Below are 18,541 nucleotides of genomic sequence, written 5' to 3' on the forward strand. Positions count from 1 at the left end.
GTAGAGACAGGGTTTTGCCATGTTTCCTAGGATGGTTTAATACCTTAAAATTTTTTTTGGTGGCTTTTGTCCATTGAGACATCCATATACTTTATGAAGTCAAAAAGAGTTATGTAAGTCTTATGACAAAAAACAGCAGTTCCCTGTCCCTCTTACCTATTCCTGGATAGCAAACTATCCCAAACTTAGTGGCTTAAAACAAGCACCGTTTTATTACGTCTTAGGATATATTGTGTCAGGAGTTTGTGGAGGGCCTGGCCGAGTGCTGCTTCTGTTTCATGGACACTGACTGAGGTGGCTCCGTGGGAGAAAGCTGGCAGGTGACTGGTCTGGAGGGTCCAGGACAGCTTTACTCACCTGCCTTCTGTCCTGGAGGGGCAGCTGGAATCCTGAGATCAGCTGGAACCTCATCCTCACTTAGTAGCACTTCAGAGGCCTCCCTAGCAGGGTGGTCAGCTGTATGATGGCTCAGGACTTCAAGAGAGCAAGGCGGAAGGTTCCAGTCCTCCAGAAGGCTGGGCCGCAGATTGTCAGGGTGTCCCTTCTGTCACCTTTCTCTGCTGAGGCAGCCTCGTGCTGCCCAGATGCAAGGCGGGAGCCGAGGGCTCCACCTCTCAGCGGCAGGAGTGCCAGGTGTCTGCGCTACGACTCCCTCTGCCCGGAAGCCCCACCTTGGCCTTTCCTAAGCTGAGTGTTCTGACCCTTGCCATGGAGGGTCCAGTGAGGCCTTTGAGAATCTGTGTACCTTCCACCCTCTACCCTGCTCCTGAGAGTCTCTGTCCCTGGTCCTCCTTGGGAGCTGAGACGGCAGGGAGGGAGCTTATCCCAGCGCCTGGCTGGGTGTTTACCTCCTCGATTCCAGCCTTACTGATCTGTTGGTGGTTCTGTGCCCTCTCTCCCCCTCTCTCCCTTCTCCACTCCTGGTCGAGGTGTTGTTTGGTGGCTTCCCTTCATGGAAGATGGGAATTTGCCTCTCTTTGCCCCTTCTGCCCCCATGTCTGCCTTCCCCGTCACCCAGGGGGTTTTGCCTGCCTCTCTCTTGCACTGGAAGGCCTGCTGCTCGGATCCCATGTCGTCTTTCTCTTGAGTTAATCATTTAGTTTGACATGAGGCACACACCTTTTATAGGCTCTTGAGAAAGTGCAAGAGAGATTTTTTTGGAGGTCTTGAATTATTGAAAATGTTTTTATCTACTCTTCAACCTCACTGATAGTTTGGCTGAGTCTAGAATTTCAGGCCAGAAATCATTTACCTTCAGATTTTTGCAAGTGTTCTTCATTTTCTTTCTTTCTTTTTTTTTTTTTTTTTTGAGATGGAATCTCGCTCTGTCACCCAGGCTGGAGTGCAGTGGCGCGATCTCGGCTCACTGCAAACTCCACCTCCCATGTTCACGCCATTCTCTTGCCTCAGCCTCCCAAGTAGCTGGGACTACAGGCGCCCTCCACCACGTCCGGCTGATTTTTTGTATTTTTAGTAGAGACGGGGTTTCACCGTGTTAGCCAGGATGGTCTCGATCTCCTGACCTCGTGATCCGCCCGCCTCGGCCTCCCAAAGTGCTAGGATTACAGGTGTGAGCCACCACACCCGGCCGCAAGTGTTCTCTATTTTCTCTAGCTTCTAGTACTGTGGTTGAGAACCTTGATGCCATTCTGATTCCTGATTCTTTCTCTCTTAACATTTTAGTGTGAAAATTTTCAAAATACAGACAAGTTGTAAGGATGCTCCAGTGAACTCTCATATGCCCAACGGTGGGGTTCTCCAGTTAACACAGCTGTCTGTGTTCCCTTCCCTTCCCCTCCCTGTCCAGCTTACTTACCCTTCCCTTCCCCTCCCCTCCCCTCCCCGTCCAGCTTACATACCCTTCCCTTCCCCTCGCCGTCCAGCTTACTTATCATTCCCTTCCCCTCCCCGTCCAGCTTATATACCCTTCCTTTCCCCTCCCCATCCAGCTTACATACCCTTCCCTTCCCCTCCCCGTCCAGCTTACTTACCCTTCCCTTCCCCTCACCATCCAGCTTACTTACCCTTCCCTTCCCCTCACCATCCAGCTTACTTACCCTTCCCTTCCCCTCCCCGTCCAGCTTACTTACCCTTCCCTTCCCCTCCCCGTCCAGCTTACTTACCCTTCCCTTCCCCTCCCCATCCAGCTTAATCGTCTTGCTGCATTTCAGGTCAGTTGCAGACATCAGTATGCTTTGCCCCAAACACTTTTCAGGCATATTCTTATTAGTTTATGATTCTTCTTTCAAAGGTAAGGTTTACATTCAGTGAAGGGCACAGGTCTTAAGAGGATCATTTAACGAGTTTTGACAAATGTGTTCTCCCATTATGGCCCCAGAGAGTTCCGTCACAGCAGTGCCACCCTTCCCCACCCAGACCGTGGCAACTGCAGGCTGATACTTTTCCACCATGGATTAGTTTTATGTGTTGTAGAATTTTATGTCAGTAGTGATTCCTGATTTTTATGGACAGCTGTTTCTCACCTGCAGGTTCTTTCCTTTATCCTCAGTAGTCTTAGTTTTCTTAACTTTATATTTCAACACTTCTGTTAAGTACTTGGTTTCTGATTTTGGTTTCCATGAGCTCTGTTTTGTTCTGAGTGTTCCTTTTGTAGCATCTCATTCTCATGCAGTACTTTCAGTAGCTTTTCTTATCTAAGGATTTTAGTGATAGCTTTCTTTTAGTGGGGAGTGGAGGAGTGGGGGTGGATGTTCTCCGTGTGTGTGTGTGTGTGTGTGTGTGTGTGTTTAAAGACCTGGGGTCTTGCTGTGTTACCCAGGCTGGACTTGAACTCCGGGTCTCAAGTGCTTCTCCTGCCTCAGCCTCCCGGGTAGCTGGGACTGCAGGAGCGCCATGCCATGCCTGGTGCCCTCCCTGCATCGTCAGTGTGGCTGCCTGCCTTCCAGGGCCTCTGCTGAGCACCTCGGAGAGTCAGCCCTGTCTCCTGCCCCAGTGCTCCTTGGGTTAGGCCTACCCTGCCCCTCCCCACAGAGTTCTCTGGTGCCACAGATCTGGAGCTTTTTAGGGACCTGTCCTGTGGATCAGGGGGAGTCTGAGTTGCCTCCCTCCAGGGGAGGGCTGGGCTTCTTGGTCTGAGGCATTTCCTGCTGTCCCTGCACTTCCAGGCTCCTCCGTGGTCCTGGTGCTGCCTTCCCTGCCCTTCCTCTTCTACCCTGTAGCTTATTTCTTGAAAAAAGAAAATGGTCCGTTTCTGCTGTTTTTAGTGGGATTTTACCCGCTATTTTTTACATGTTCAACCCCCTGTGTTACTCAGAATTCTTGCGATTAGGTTTTTGACCAAATCTTAGGAACCGTCATGGGGGTGGCAGCTGATGTTTCTTGCGTGTTGATGGTGTGGGGCACCGTGCCAGGTGCATCACCTGCACTGGTCCATTTACTCAGAAGCACCACGCACCTGGCCTGTGGAGTCCCCCCACCCACAGGTCGGGAACATGGCCGAGGTACCCAGCCCAGAGGGCGATGAGCAGAGTTACACCAGAGGTGGGGGGTGCTTCCCTGGGTGGGGAAGGAGGGGTACCTGGGGTGGTGGCTGCTCTTGGGGGTAAGCACCGGTGCCAGTGTGTGTTGGGGGGTGCCAGGGACCCAGGCAGGTGCTGGCGCCGCGGCCTCTGTGTCAGGGCCTCTTTCCCTAGGGGCACACAGGCTGGAAGTGCAGTCCTGGTTGAGCTTTCCTAGTTTCCAGGTCGGGGGTGAGGCACAGGACATGGCCGGCTCGGCCCCTTCCTCTCCATCCTGTCCAGCTCAGCCCCTTCCTGTCCATCTTGTGCGGCCCAGCCCCTTCCTCTCCGTCCATCCTGTCCGGCCTGGCCCCTTCCTCTCTGTCCTGTCTGGCCTGGCCCCTTCCTCTCTGTCCATCCTGTCTGGCTCGGCCCCTTCCTCTCCGTCCTGTCCAGCTTGGCCCCTTCCTCTCCATCTTGTCCGGCCCGGCCCCTTCCTCTCCATCTCGTCTGGCCCGGCCCCTTCCTCTCCGTCTGTCCTGTCCGGCCCGGCCCCTTCCTCTCCGTCCTGTCCAGCTCAGCCCCTTCCTGTCCATCTTGTGTGGCCCAGCCCCTTCCTCTCCGTCTGTCCTGTCTGGCCTGGCCCCTTGCTCTCCCTCCGTCCTGTCCGGCTCAGCCCTTTCCTCTCCGTCCTGCCCAGCCCACCCCGGTCCCTTCCGCAGCAGCATCCTCTCCAGTGCACTGTGTGCTGGGACTCAAGTCTTGGCTCTTCCATCTTCACCCTTTGTGACTTGGGGCAGCAATTGCTGACCTCCCTGGGCCTCGGTCTTCCTGTCCGTGAAAGGGACTTGTGAGCATCTCTCACAGAACACCTGTGATGAAGGAAGGGCGTCACATCTTGGATCTTCTTAAAATACAAGATTGTTTCTGTTTTAATCCTTTGTGTTCCTTGTGAGGTGCTGCATCCAGAGGAAAGGAGAAAGGAAATGAAAACTCTGCGGAAAATCCACAGGCCTGGCATCAGCCTCCCAGTCTGATTTTGACGCGGCTGTAGGGGAGACACAGCAACATTCTATCCCCCGAGGGCACAGCTTCAGGAACGGCTCCGGGCCGGAGGGCACCTCTCGCCTGGCTGTGTTGTGTCTCAGGGCTCTGCGCTTCTAAAGGGACTCAGGCCAGTGGGCAGAACTGTGGGATGGGACTGGGAGGCTTAGGGGGTGAGGGTGTAAGCCCTGTGCCTCCCTCCACGTGCTGCGTCCGGCATGCCACGTCCCCTCGTCCAGCCCTCTGCTGCCCCCTCCACGCGCTGCGTCCTCTGTGCTGTGTCCTCTTGTCCAGCCCTCTGCTGCCCCCTCCACGTGCTGCGTCCAGCGTGCCGTGTCCTCTCGTCCAGCCCTCTGCTGCCCCCTCCATGCGCTGTGTCCCATGTGCCGTGTCCTCTCGTCCAGCCCTCTGCTGCCCGCTGCTCTCTTTGGGACTTCCATTGTTTCCCCTTCCCCTTCCTTTCCTGGTTTTCTTCCCTAGTGAGGTGCCCTTCCTGCTGCTGCAGGGCCCTGCTGTGGCCTCTGCCTTCCGTCCCTGGCGGTAGTGAGACTGGCTGAGACCCAGGGGAAGCTTGGAGACTGTCCTAGATTTCGGAGATGGTGGTACACAGGCTTGCTGGCTTGGGTTAGGGCTCTAGGCCCTGCCTTCGGGTTGTCTGGAAGCCGCCAGCCAGGCCTGGACACCTCTCTGCCCCCGTCACCTCGGAGCAGCAGCCCAGGAGCGGGTCACAGCCCTTCCCCTGTGTTACATGGTCACCTGCCTGAGAACCCCTGCAGGCCCCTGTGTTTTGGGAAGTTGATTTAACTGAACAGAGCGCAGCTGAGAAGGGGCGCCTCCCTCCCCACCCACCCTCATTGCCTGGGACCGCGTGTCCAGGAGCCGGGCCTCGGGTGTCTGGTCTCTGGGCCACACAGGCTAACATGGCCAAGCCCAGCTGCACCCCCGGGGTCCTCACCCGCCATGTGCCTGTGGTCGTGGCCAAGGTCTGGGCCCAACCTGCTCTGGGCGCTGTGGGCACCGCTCAGCCATTTTCTACAGGTGGCCGAGGAGACATTTGGTTTCTCATTAAAAAGAAACAGGCCGGGCGTGGTGGCTCACGCCTGTAATCCCAGCACTTTGGGAGGCCAAGGTGGGCGGATCATGAGGTCAGGAGATCGAGACCATCTTGTCTAACACAGTGAAACCCCGTCTCTACTAAAAATACACAAAAAATTAGCTGGGCGTGGTGGTGGGTGCCTGTAATCCCAACTACTCGGGAGGCTGAGGCAGGAGAATGGTGTGAACCTGGGAGGCGGAGCTTGCAGTGAGCCGAGATCATGCCACTGTATTCCAGCCTGGGCAACAGAGCGAGACTCCATGTCAAAGAAAAAAAAAAAAAAAAAAAAAAAGAAACAACCCTGAGAACATCAGTGGGGTTTTACTGACTGTGTCAGACAACTCAGCGATGCAGAGAAATGAAAGTGGAGTTGATTTGGCTCTTGTGGTGAGATACAGCCAAGGTGTATGAGAGAATTTGGGGAAAGCTTTCTTTCTGGACATTTGTTGACGTTGATGAGTAGTGGAGGGCTTTATTTGTAAGTTGAAGTCTGAGATTTGTCATGCCAATACCTAAATTTTAATTTGTTTGTACAAATAACGCCACAATTTAATTCTTTTTTCTTTTTGAGACAGAGTCTTGCTCTGTCACCCAGGCTGGAGTGCAGTAGTGCGATCTCCGCCTCCCGAGTTCAAGTCATTCTCCTGCCTCAGCCTCCCGAATAGCTGGGATCACAGTTGCGTGGTACCACGCCTGGCTAGTATTTTGTATTTTTAGTAGAGATGGGGTTTCATCATGTTAGCCAGGATGGTCTTGATCTCCTGACCTCGTGATCCACCCTCCTCGGCCTCCCAAAGTGCTGGGATTACTGGGATTACAGGCGTGAGCCACCGGGCCGGGCCCACGATTTGAATTTTTATGGAACTGGGGCTAACTTAATTTTTTCAGACGAGTGGGAGTAGAGCAAACGGCCCCTGTCTGTTGCCCCTTTTTCCTACCAAGGCCCCTCCAGGCTGTCTCTTGCCTGGTGAGTGTGAGGAGATGGGTGGGCGCGGCCCTGTGGGATGGTGCTCTGTGGCAGGGCTGGCAGTTTCTGGGTGTGTGGCCTGTGGGTAGCCTTTGTACTGGGCGCACAGTCCCCGGCTCCTCCCTTCCAACACCTTCGCCCTGAGCGGCCTCGGAAATGGGGCTTCTGGCGGCTCTGCAGGCACCGTCAGAGTCAGAGGGAGGGCGAGCGGCTTTTGGTTTCTGTTTAAACAGCGTCCTGTCGCTCCCTCCTCTCCTGTGCGGATTGGCGCTGCGGCTTCTGTGTTGAGAGGGAAACTTGAAACCCTGAGCTATGTATGGCTTGTTTTGTCTTTGATTGGGAAACCCAATTCAGGTTTGTGAACTTGGGCCAAGTTTAAGAATTCCCACAGTTTTCTTCAGCTCCTCTCCTCCCTGAACCCCGACAGCGAGGTGTCTTACGCTTCGGCATTCTCACTCGCCTGACTCAGACTTGTTAGTTTTCCAGAGCAACTCATGTGGCCGCCGTCTAGGGAGTTTATTCAGAGGGTGCCTCTACATGCACAGCAGCCAGGTACAGAAGTCATGAGTTAAATCGCACAAGGACAAGTAAAATGAAAAAAATTAGCACTCAGATCTTCTTTTTTTTCATGCTACAAAATAACAGTGAAAAACCTAACGATGAAAATAGATGCGAACAGACAAAAGGTCAATGGGCTTGATCCCTTCTCATCCTCTCTCCTGTGTCTCCTGGAGGCTTCTGCACCTCTGTGTCTTCCCCCGCTCTGCTGCGTCTTCTCCACCTCGATGTCCCCCTCTGCCTGCTGCGTCTTCTCCACCTCGATGTCCCCCTCTGCCTGCTGCGTCTTCTCCACCTCGATGTCCCCCTCTGCCTGCTGCGTCTTCTCCACCTCGATGTCCCCCTCTGTCTGCTGCGTCTTCTCCACCTCGATGTCCCCCTCTGCCTGCTGCGTCTTCTCCACCTCGATGTCCCCCTCTGCCTGCTGCGTCTTCTCCACCTCGATGTCCCCCTCTGCCTGCTGCGTCTTCTCACCTCGATGTCCCCCTCTGCCTGCTGCGTCTTCTCCACCTCGATGTTCCCCTCTGCCTGCTGCGTCTTCTCCATCTCGATGTCCCCCTCTGCCTGCTGCGTCTTCTCACCTCGATGTCCCCCTCTGCCTGCTGCGTCTTCTCCACCTCAATGTCCCCCGCTCTGCTGCGTCTTCTCCACCTCGATGTCCCCCTCTGCCTGCTGCGTCTTCTCCACCTCGATGTCCCCCTCTGTCTGCTGCGTCGGGGCTGCCTACCGGGCTTGGTCTTCAGGGCCACTGTTTCTCCTCAGCTAAGTCCTGAGAGTCACATTTCCATCCATTGCAGTGAAATCTTTTCCTTCAGGTATTTCCAGACCTTGGTTTTGGCCCCTTTTCATATCTTCCTTGTTTCCTCGCTGTGGTTTTCATTTCCCCTTTCGTCTCCTTAACCTGTTTTTTGATGGTGTCTTTTTAGGTTATCTCAAGTTCATTTCAAGCTCTGAAAGTAGGAAGTAAAGTAAGAACCGCGTGGCACTAGCAATCACTAGGCATTGTTCCAAGCACACGGATAAACTGAGAATCCTCGTGGTCGCCCCGGGGGTGGGACTGCCATTGTCCAGAGAGACCTGCTTTTGCCTGTGGTGCCACACGGGTCCCTCTCACAGGATGCGACCATGGTGGCTTTGCGTCATGTCACCTCAGCCAGGCAGGACCTTCTGCTGGAACCCCCTTCCCTGGTAGTCCTCGGAGAGGGCTGTGCACAATCTGGAGGCAGAAGCGAAGCAGTAGCCCCCGTGCGCGGCAGCTCTTGAGGCTGTGCTGCTGTTGGCTGTGCTGTTGTTGGCTGTGCTGTTGTTGGCTGTTTTGCTGTTGGCTGTGCTGTTGTTGCCTGTGCTGCTGTTGGCTGTGCTGCTGTTGGCTGTGCTGCTGTTGGCTGTGCTGCTGTTGGCTGTGCTGTTGTTGGCTGTGCTGTTGTTGGCTGTGCTGTTGTTGGCTGTGCTGCTGTTGGCTGTGCTGTGCTGCTGTTGGCTGTGCTGCTGTTGGCTGTGCTGCTGTTGGCTGTGTTGTTGTTGGCTGTGCTGTTGTTGGCTGTGCTGTTGTTGCCTGTGCTGCTGTTGGCTGTGCTGCTGTTGGCTGTGCTGTTGTTGGCTGTGCTGCTGTTGGCTGTGCTGCTGTTGGCTGTGCTGTTGTTGGCTGTGTTGTTGTTGGCTGTGCTGCTGTTGGCTGTGCTGTTGTTGGCTGTGCTCTTCTGCTGTTGGCTGTGCTGTTGTTGGCTGTGCTGTTGTTGGCTGTCCTGTTGTTGGCTGTCCTGTTGTTGGCTGTGCTGTTGTTGGCTGTGCTGTTGTTGGCTGTGCTGTTGGCTGTGCTGTTGTTGGCTGTGCTGTTTTGCTGTTGGCTGTGCTGTTGTTGGCTGTGCTGTTGTTGGCTGTGCTGTTTTGCTGTTGGCTGTGCTGTTGTTGGCTGTGCTGTTGTTAGCTGTGCTGTTGTTGGCTGTGCTGTTGTTGGCTGTGCTGCTGTTGGCTGTCCTGTTGTTGGCTGTGCTGTTGTTGGCTGTGCTGTTTTGCTGTTGGCTGTGCTGTTGTTGGCTGTGCTGTTGTTGGTTGTGTGTGCTGACCCCGGACCCCCTACAGTATGGCTGTGCATGGACTGGTGATTTGGCCCCCATGGCCTCATCAGCCCTGATCCATCCCTGCATTGAATTCGTATGGGGCTTGTGGTGAGTCTGGACTGACTCAGCTTTCTAAAAGCTGAAAAGCAAAAGTTAATAGGTCTGCAGAGATAAATGGACAGACCCGGTATCCTCCTGAGAGCTCAAAACACCTCCCAATTATTGATAACTAAATATGTAGTGGAGATATAGATATGTATAAAACGCACATTACATACTGTGTGTGCACATACAATATTTCAACAGCAGAGGCGACTGGCATGATTCCATAATTGATACAGAACCGTGTAGCTAGCCGTTGGAGAATACACATTTGTAGGCACCTGAGGAACATTCACAGATATTACACAGCCAGGCCATAAAACAAGTCTCGAGACATTTCAGAGACTCACTGGCGGACAGATGGTATTCCATGCTCACAAAGTAATGAAATTAAAAACTGGATACAGAATAATAAAGGAAAGGTGATAATTTTTAGTTAGAAGATATACAAATGTGTAAATCACATGAGTCAAGTCTCAGGAGGTTTTAAAATAAAAAGTTAAAAAAGTTTAAAAATAAAAATAAACAGTCACAAAATTATTCTATCTAAAATTTTGGGATGCAGCTAAGGAAACTTAAACCTTTAAACAGGTGTGACGAAATTGTGGCCTGCAGGCCCAGTGGGGCCTCAGCCTGTTTCTGTACAGCTTTGGAGCCAAGAAGGGTTTTCACATTTTAAAAATGTTATCAATGAGAATAAACACAACCAAGCAGAGTCTGCGATGTGGACTGCATGTGGCCCACAGGGCCCGAGGTTCTCTCTGGCCCTGGCAGGAATCACTTGGTGACTCGGCCTCAGACACGTGTACAGAAAAGGAGAAAGGTTCACTCTGCACAGGGCGGGTGGGAAGAGGGCAGTGAGCAGAACCCTAGAAATGAAGGAGGTGGAAGACAAAGATGAGAGAGGACACACAGAGCCAAACGCAGCTCTTCGAGAGGGCTGATGGGACCAATAAACGCGTGGCCGACGGGCAGAAAGCAGGAGCCTTACACACGGAAGGGAGCCCTCGTGCAGCCACCGTGGAGATGGAAAATGGCATGTTAAGAATATCTTTTGCCAGGAAATTTGGTAGCTTAGGCAAAATAGACGTTCCGAGAGAAATGTAATTTATCAAAGTTGACCCAGGTGGGAATAGAAAAGTGACTCCTCACTGCTTCAGCGCATCTGCTTGTAAGCGGGAACGATTACTGTTGACCCCATAGGATTTTTAATGATTTTGTTGAGACGCAATTCACATGCCATTCAGTTCTGTCATTAAGTGTACAGTTCAGTGGCTTGTAACGCATTTGCAGAGTTTTGCAGCCATCGCCACAGTCAGTTGTAGAACATTTTACCCCACGCTCCTTCGCTGTCATCCCCAACCCCCCCGACAGATGGATAAACCCCCCCTCCTAGACACCACAGATGGGTTCTCTGTGTCTACCCATTCTGGACATTTCCTGTGAATGGAACCGTGCCCCCTGTGGTCCTCTGTGGTGGCTCCTTGCCCCGAGCGTGGCGTTGGCGTGGTCCGTGGGCGATGCAGCCCCCAGCAGTGCTCCTTTTCTTTTCCTTGTTGAAGCCTGTTCCATCGTGTGGCATCTTAGTCAGCTCAGGCTGTGGAAACAAGTCACCACAGATGGGGGCTCAAGCAGCACAAATGTATCCCTCACAGTTCTGGAGGCTGGGTGTCCAAGGTCGAGGTGCCAGCAGGCTCGGCAGCAGGCTCGGTTTCTTCCGGGTTTTCCTGGGCCTGCAGGCGCTGCCTTCCTGCTGCGTGCTCGCCGTTCGGTCTGTGTCTTGGTGTCCTTGTTTCCTCTTCTTAGGCGGACACTGGTCATAGCAGATCCGGGCCCCACTTGCGTGGCCTCATTTTACCTTACGCATCTCTAAGGGCCACATCTCCAGATACAGGCACTCGGGGGCACTGGGGTTAAGACTTCAGTATGTGGATTTCAGGGAGACAGAATTCAGCCCACGACGTACATGGAGGCCGCATTTTATTTATCCATCTGTCAGTTGGTAGACGTTTGGGTTGTTTCCCACTGTAGGCTGCTGTGAATAAAGCATTCGTGTGTGAGTTTTTGTGTGGATGTGGTTTTTGTCTTGGGTATAGGCCTGGGCTTGGAGCATAGGACTGTTCGGAAAGTTAAGGGAATGAACGTATTCAGAGCTCAGAACCGTGTCTGGCTTGCGATGCGTTCTGTTTTGAGGTTAGTGATGATGATGGAGAGCGGCTCCCGAGGACGAGAGCTCGTGATGGAGAGTGCCTCTTTATGCCCGATGTGAATGTGGCTACTCAGCTTTCTCTCTCTCTTTTTTTTTAAATTAATTTATTTTGTCGAGACAGGTTCTTGCTCTGTTGCCCAGGCTGGAGTGCAGTGGTGTGATCATAGCTCACTGCATCCTTGACCTCTTGGGCGCAAGTGATCCTCTGACCTCAGCCTCCTGAGTAGCTGGAACCACAGGCATGTGCCACCACGCCCAGCTAATTGTCGTATTTTTTTTCTTTTTCTTTTTTTGTAAGGGTAGGGTTTTGCCATGTAGCTGGTCTCAAAGTCCTGGGCTTAAGCAGTCCACCTGTCTCAGCTTCCTAAGGTGCTGGGATTACAGGCTTGAGCCACTGCATCCAGCAACACCCCCCCTCCTTTTTTTTTTCTGTTTTTGAGTCAGGGTCTTGCTCTGTTGCCCAGGCTGGAGTGCAGTGGCTCACTCACGGCTCACTGTAGCTTTGAACTCATGGGCTAGATCCATCCCCTGACCTCAGCCTCACAAGTAGCTGAGACTACAGGTGTTTGCCAGCACACCCAGCTCATTTTTTCTTTTTTTTTTTGTAGAGACGGTCTCACCATCTAGCCCAGGTTGGTCTTGAACTCCTCGCCTCAAATGATCCTCTCATCTTGGCCTCCCAAAGTATTGCGATTACAGGCATGAGCCACTGTTAATGGCCCCAGCTTTCTTTGGGTTCGTGTTTTCTCAGTGTATTCTTTTCTGTCTTTTAATTTTTTTATATTCTTGCATTTTAGATGTATGTTGAGTAAAAATCTACCGTATGTGATTTTAAGCTGGTGAGTTTAGTCCATTTACTTTACTGACATGTTTGGGTGTCTTTGTCTTATTATATGAATTTTGCTTTTTCAGATTTTTTTTTGTTTTTAAAAGTTGTGGTTCCTATTGGGCCCCCAACCCAGTCCCATTCCACATCTTCTTCCTTGTTGGTTTGGAATCATCTATTCTGTTTCCTGTGTTTCTTCAGGGGTCGTATTCAGCTTGTACCACGAATATTCAGAGCCAACAGCCAGCTTCTTAGCCTACCCTCCAAGTAACACACAGCACACCCTGACCTCGATCACTTTCCATCTGACATATTTGACATTGTTGAGTTTTTAGTTCTTCTTGTTTAACATTAGACATTACAGGTTGAGCACCCTGAATCCGAAAATCCAAAACCGAAAACTTTTTGAATGCTGAGTTGACACTCTGCAGGTGATGGGCTGCAGTCAAAACACAGGTAAACAACACACAGTTGATTCAGCACCCCAAGGGGAAAAAGATCCTCCCAGCCCCCTTCAGCTTTGATAAATCCTTTCCACATAAGACCAGGTTCCCTCATGCAAGCACGTCCACAAAGGGCGATGAAATGTCGGGTGCAGGCCGGACGCAGGCGCTGCAGGCTCCTTATGAGGCTCCACATGGGCGAGACCTGTGCGCACCGCTCGTGTGTTTGCGTATCCTCTGCTCTGTGGTGTACAGATACTGTTGAAAACATCAGAAAGGCCTGCAGGTTACTTGTATGGGGGTGTACAGATACTGTTGAAAATGTCAGAAAGGCCTGCAGGTTACTTGTATGGGTAACAGTGGTCAGAAAAGGGGCAAGCATTCACGTTTGCATGTCGCACAGAAAGTCAGACTGCTGGGGGGAGCTGGGCAGCAGTGTAAGAGCACGGTGCTGGAGTGAGTGCCAGAGATGACCTAAGAAACAGGAGGAATGGTTGACGTTCTGTGCTGGAAACGATGACCAGAAAAACCCTGCACAAAGCTACACGTGAAATTTCTATCACGTATTGAAAGAGTGGATCTGTCAGCATCGCAGTGGACACAAGCCACTTAACAGTGCCAATCACAAGACAAGCAAAGCTCTGTGTAAAGGCCCTGATCGCATTCATGAAGCTCTGTCCTTGGGACTCATCATCTACGAAAGGCCACACCTCCTAACACCGTGCTCTTGGGAGTGAGGATTTCAGCAGGAATTCTGGGGAACAGAAGCATTGGGGCGTCGCATCTCCCTGTGGCCTTCCTCCCTGTGGCCTTCCTCCGCCTGCCAGCTGCCCCCTCACCCTGCTGTCCACCTCACGGACCCCTCTTCGCCCCATATGGGCCACTTTGGCCCCCACCACCCCTTCCTGGATGTGCAGACCCTATGCGGTGCCACCTGATGCTTCAAGACTGAATTTTCCAGAGGGGCAGGGAAAGGTGTTTGCTTTTTTTTTTTTTTTTTTTTTTTTTTTTTTTTTTTTAATTTTTTAGAGCCAGGGTCACTCTGTTGCTCACGCTGGAGTGAGTGCCATGGTGTAGTCGCGGCTCACTGCAGTCTTGGCCTCCTGGACTAAAGCGATCCTTCCACCTCAGCCTCCCAAGTCACTGTGGCACTATGGGTGCATGCTACCGTGCCCGGCTAATTTTTTTTATCTTTTGAAGAGATGGGATCTCACTATGTTGCCCAGGCTGGTCACGAACTCCTGGGCTCACGTGATCTACTCACCTCGGCCTCCTGAAGGGCTGGGATTACAGGTGTGAGCCACTGTGCCTGGCCAGGTGTTTGCTCTTAAAAAGTCATTTCTCTCTTTCTGTGTGTATTTGTGTTTTGAGGTAAAATTTCACATAACATAAAAATAACCATTAACTTTAAAGTGAAAAACTCAGAGCATTTAGTACATACCCAATGTTGCACAGCTATTACTTCTGTCTACTTTTAACACATTTTTGTCACCGAAAAAATACTCTGGTGTCCATTCACATAGTCATGACACATCACGACACATGACTGTATTCCCAACCCCTGGCACCTGCCAGGCTGTTTTCTGCCTCTACGTTTACTTATTCTGAGAATTTTATACACATGGAGTCTGCAATGCGTGACCCTTTGTGCCTGGTTCATCTGTATTGTAGCATGTGTCAGGCCTTCATTTGTTTTTATGGCTGAATAATATTGCTTTGTATGGGTAGACTCCCCCCCCACTTTTTTTTTTTTTTTTTTTTTTTTTGTAGAGACAGGGTCTCACCATCTAGCCCAGGTTGGTCTTGAACTCCTGGCCTCAAATGATCCTCTCATCTTGGCCTCCCAAAGTATTGTGATTACAGGCATGAGCCTGAATCTGAAAAAGCAAAATTCATATAGTAAGACAAAGACACCCAAACATGTCAGTGAAGTAAATGGACTAAACTCACCAGCTTAAAATCATATGGTAGAATTTTACTCAACATACATCTAAAATGCAAGAATATAAAAAGATTAAAAGGAAAGACAGAAAAGAATATGCTGAGAAAACACTAACCAAAAGAAAGCTGGGGCCAGTAACAGTGGCTTAATGCCTGTAATCACAATACTTTGGGAGGCCAAGATGAGAGGATCATTTGAGGCGAGGAGTTCAAGACCAACCTGGGCTAGATGGTGAGACCCTGTCTCTACAAAGAAAAAAAGAAAAAAAACAGACGCCCCAATGCTTGCGTTCCCCAAAATTCCTGCTGAAATCCTGACTCCCAAGGGCACAGTGTTAGGTGTGGCCTTTCGTAGATGATGAGTCACAGGGACAGAGCTTGATGAATGCTATCAGGGCCCTTACACAGTTGACGGACACTTAAGTTTTCCCACCTTTTGGCCCTTGTGAAGAATGCTTCTGTGAACGTTTGCGTACAAGTGTCTGTTTGAATCCCTGTCTTCCCCTTTTTTGGGTGCGCATCCAGGGCGGGATCGCTGGACCGCGTGCGGACCCTCGCTGCGCATCCAGGGCGGGATCGCTGGACCGCGTGCGGACCCTCGCTGCGCATCCAGGGCGGGATCGCTGGACCGCGTGCGGACCCTCGGTGCGCATCCAGGGCGGGATCGCTGGACCGCGTGCGGACCCTCGCTGCGCATCCAGGGCGGGATCGCTGGACCGCGTGCGGACCCTCGGTGCGCATCCAGGGCGGGATCGCTGGACCGCGTGCGGACCCTCGGTGCGCATCCAGGGCGGGATCGCTGGACCGCGTGCGGACCCTCGGTGTGTTACTGAGGCGTCCCCAAGCTGTTTCCACAGACGCTGTGCTGCCCTGCATTCCCACCAGCAAGGCGCAGAGCTTCTGGTTTCTCCATGTCCTCACCAACACCTGTGTTGTTCTTTTTTAAAAAATTATAATCAGCCTCGTAGGTGTGAGGGGGTATCTTGTGATTTTGATTTGAATTTTTCTTAATGACGAATGACACTGAGCATCTTTTCATGTGCTCCTTGGTTGTTTGTGTATTTCTCTGGATAAATGTCTAGTCAAGTCCTTTGACCATTTTTAAATTGGATTGTTTGTCCTTTTGTTGTTGAGTTGTAAAGCTGTTTGTATCTTCTGGATATTAAACTCTTATCAGATATATCATTTGCAAGTATTTTCTCCCATTCTGTTGGTTGTCTTTTTTTTTCTTTTGATAATGTCTTTGTATTGTGTCGTGTTTAATGTAAACATTTCACCATTGTTTTAATTCCCTCTTTTCAGTTCTTTTCTGTGTGTGTGCAGTTTTTGGGTGTGTGTGATGTGTACATACACACATGCACATATACAGGTGTCTAAAAAGTATTTTGTTTTTTTGTTTTAAATATTTGACACTTTTAAATTGGAGTTGAGATTCTGTATGGAGTAACGTATTGTTGAATGACAGGAAAGTATGAAGCTTGTCGGAGTGTTATTACTTGGCATAGCCACAGGAGCCATACAAATGATACAACCTTGCTGCTTGTGTCTCATGGTTTTTTTTTTTTTTTAATTTAATTTAATTTTTTTTTCATTTTTTTTTTAAATTATACTTTAAGTTTTAGGGTACATGTGCACATTGTGCAGGTTAGTTACATATGTATACATGTGCCATGCTGCTGCACTGCACCCACTAACTCGTCATCTAGCATTATTTTAATTTGTTTTAGTTTTTTTTTTGAAAAAGGGTCTTGCTGTGTCACTCAGGCAGGAGTACAGTGGTATGATCACAGCTCACCGCAGCCTTGACCTCCCAGGCTCAAGCGATCCTCCTGCTTCAGCCTCCCAAGTAGCTGGTGCTACAGGGGCACACCATCATACCTGGCTAACTTTTGTATTTTTTTGTAGAGATGGGATCTCCCTATGTTGTCCAGGCTGGTCTCGAACTCCTGGGCTCAAGTGATCCTCCCGCCTCAGCCTCCCTAAATGCTGGGATTACGAACATGAGCCACTGTGCCCAGCCAGCCTTTGTTGTTTTTGAAAGTTGAAATTCATGTTTTTGGATCAAAGCTAAGCTGTGACATATAAACATGAAGTGATCTAGTTAGGTTTGGTTATACACCATGTGCAGAAAGCAACCTCTTCATGAATCTTTTAATGAACATCTTTCTACCTGGAAGAAACCCTTTACCTACTAAACTTACTTTCACACCTTCCTAATTTTGTTGTCTTCCGTGTTTTTGCTAGCTCCAGGCCTATTCGGCATTTAAAATAAAATGCAGGTTGGCCAGTCTGGCTGGGCAGTTCTACAGGTACTACGGCTGGAGGATCCCAGTTGACTTGAAATTCAGGTTTTGCTTGTGAAAGTAGCTGGCTGGGGCTTCTGTTGATGACAGTGCTGTGTGGACGGCCTGGTTCGCTGGGTGTGCCTCACAGACACAGGACACTTTTTAGGGTTGCTTTTGAATGTGCCTGAGGTGAGGTTCCTGTGTTTTCCTTGTACTTACCTTCATATTTTCTGACCCTCCTGTGGATGGAAAATCGACTGAGTGTGTGAAGGGCCTGTCGGTGTGAACGGGCCCTGCTCAGCCGGTCCATGGCTGTCTTAGGATCCCGCTTGGTGGCGAGGAGGGTGCGGCTCGTGGGTGGCTGCCTGGGGCTACCCCGTGTAGACTTGCTGGGACTTTGTCTAGACAAGAGAACTGCTGTCAGTGGCGCTTCCTGCGGGGGGATGAGTGCGGCTCTCAGCGCCTCTGTGGGGCTGGGGGTCTTGGGCCGTGAGGCCGGGGCCAGGCTGCGTGGCAACCCTGAGTCCCACCCTCATTGTCTTTGCTCGGGGCCCCGAGAGGCCATGGGGAGCCTGCCGGCTCTGTGTCCTCCCCGCACTGGCTTTTAGGGAAAGAGAGTCTCGTGGGTCATCCGGCCTGCCGGCTCTGTGTCCTCCCTACACTGACACACTGGCTTTCAGGGAAGGGGAGTCTTGTGGGTCGTCTGGCCTGCCGGCTCTGTGTCCTCCCCGCACTGGCTTTCAGGGAAAGAGAGTCTCGTGGGTCGTCTGGCCTGCCGGCTCTGTGTCCTCCCTACACTGACACACTGGCTTTCAGAGAAAGGGAGTCTCGTGGGTCGTCTGGCCTGCCGGCTCTGTGTCCTCCCTACACTGACACACTGGCTTTCAGGGAAAGGGAGTCTTGTGGGTCGTCTGGCCTGCCGGCTCTGTGTCCTCCCCGCACTGGCTTTCAGGGAAAGAGAGTCTCGTGGGTCGTCTGGCCTGCCAGCTCTGTGTCCTCCCTACACTCACACACTGGCTTTCAGGGAGATTGGGCCTTGTGTGTCCTGTTGGGTGAGCAGACACACAAGCTGTGACTTCAGGGCTACGGAAGTTGCTCTGTGGTTTCCGGCACTGCAGACTCCAAGTGTGAGCCCTGTAGTGAGGACAAAGAGTGGAGGTTGGAGTTCAGAATTGTGGACAGGCTCCTGAGGACCAGCAGAGGCTGGAGGCCAGGGCTTGCCCGCCGGGAGTGTGGCTGTGGAAAGATTCCAGTCCACAGTGGGGGCTGCTGCCCAGACTCACCCTGAATAAAGTGTCTTCAGAGCCACCTGTCCTGCCTGTTCATGGCAGTGACCCAGAAAGATTCATCAGTGGGCGGTGAGTTGGGAACAGAAAGAAAACCCTTGAGATAACTGGGTTGGAGACAGGGAGCAGGCTTGTCATTGTGCACTGGTGACATGGCCTTTGGCCTCCCCAGCCGTCTGGCCTGGGCCTCGTGGTCCTGCTCTTGGGCTTCATGTGTCCTTGGGTGTCAGCTCCAGCATGGCGTCCTCTGGGCCCTGCTGCTTCTG

The 18,541-nt window shown here is 51.6% G+C and overlaps 1 protein-coding gene across 23 annotated transcripts in view, besides 5 other annotated features; it reads left to right on the top strand.

The window, feature by feature from the left end:
• Positions 1–18,541, top strand: part of TBCD (tubulin folding cofactor D) — a 193,850-nt gene that overhangs the window by 89,425 nt on the left and 85,884 nt on the right. For 3 of the 23 annotated variants that reach the window (XM_005256399.6, XM_047436622.1, XM_047436628.1), the window contains exon 1: positions 18,101–18,347. The exons of 18 other annotated variants lie outside the window; for them this stretch is intronic. In XM_005256399.6, coding sequence (XP_005256456.1) covers positions 18,314–18,347 — 34 coding nt within the window. In that variant the 5' untranslated portion in view covers positions 18,101–18,313. Of the gene's footprint in view, positions 1–12,447; positions 12,777–17,092; positions 17,179–18,100; positions 18,348–18,541 lie in introns of those variants that run through there. 2 more of the 23 variants (XM_006722291.5, XM_024450902.2) reach the window with 2 other exon arrangements.
• Positions 3,330–3,831: an enhancer, noted in NCBI's record as "H3K4me1 hESC enhancer chr17:80802695-80803196 (GRCh37/hg19 assembly coordinates)". NCBI's record gives its function as "activates a minimal SCP1, AML or CMV promoter by ChIP-STARR-seq in naive H9 embryonic stem cells {active_cell/tissue: H9 hESC(naive)}" and the evidence as "EXISTENCE:reporter gene assay evidence [ECO:0000049][PMID:30033119]".
• Positions 3,832–4,331: an enhancer, noted in NCBI's record as "H3K4me1 hESC enhancer chr17:80803197-80803696 (GRCh37/hg19 assembly coordinates)". NCBI's record gives its function as "activates a minimal SCP1, AML or CMV promoter by ChIP-STARR-seq in naive H9 embryonic stem cells {active_cell/tissue: H9 hESC(naive)}" and the evidence as "EXISTENCE:reporter gene assay evidence [ECO:0000049][PMID:30033119]".
• Positions 7,998–8,227: an enhancer, noted in NCBI's record as "active region_13016". NCBI's record gives its function as "activates an Ori minimal core promoter by ATAC-STARR-seq in GM12878 lymphoblastoid cells {active_cell/tissue: GM12878}" and the evidence as "EXISTENCE:reporter gene assay evidence [ECO:0000049][PMID:35858748]".
• Positions 8,584–9,086: an enhancer, noted in NCBI's record as "H3K27ac-H3K4me1 hESC enhancer chr17:80807949-80808451 (GRCh37/hg19 assembly coordinates)". NCBI's record gives its function as "activates a minimal SCP1, AML or CMV promoter by ChIP-STARR-seq in primed H9 embryonic stem cells {active_cell/tissue: H9 hESC(primed)}" and the evidence as "EXISTENCE:reporter gene assay evidence [ECO:0000049][PMID:30033119]".
• Positions 17,744–18,519: an enhancer, noted in NCBI's record as "H3K27ac-H3K4me1 hESC enhancer chr17:80817109-80817884 (GRCh37/hg19 assembly coordinates)". NCBI's record gives its function as "activates a minimal SCP1, AML or CMV promoter by ChIP-STARR-seq in naive H9 embryonic stem cells {active_cell/tissue: H9 hESC(naive)}" and the evidence as "EXISTENCE:reporter gene assay evidence [ECO:0000049][PMID:30033119]".

The sequence above is a fragment of the Homo sapiens genome, chromosome 17 (genome assembly GCF_000001405.40).
Source record: "Homo sapiens chromosome 17, GRCh38.p14 Primary Assembly".
Classification (NCBI taxonomy): domain Eukaryota; kingdom Metazoa; phylum Chordata; class Mammalia; order Primates; family Hominidae; genus Homo; species Homo sapiens.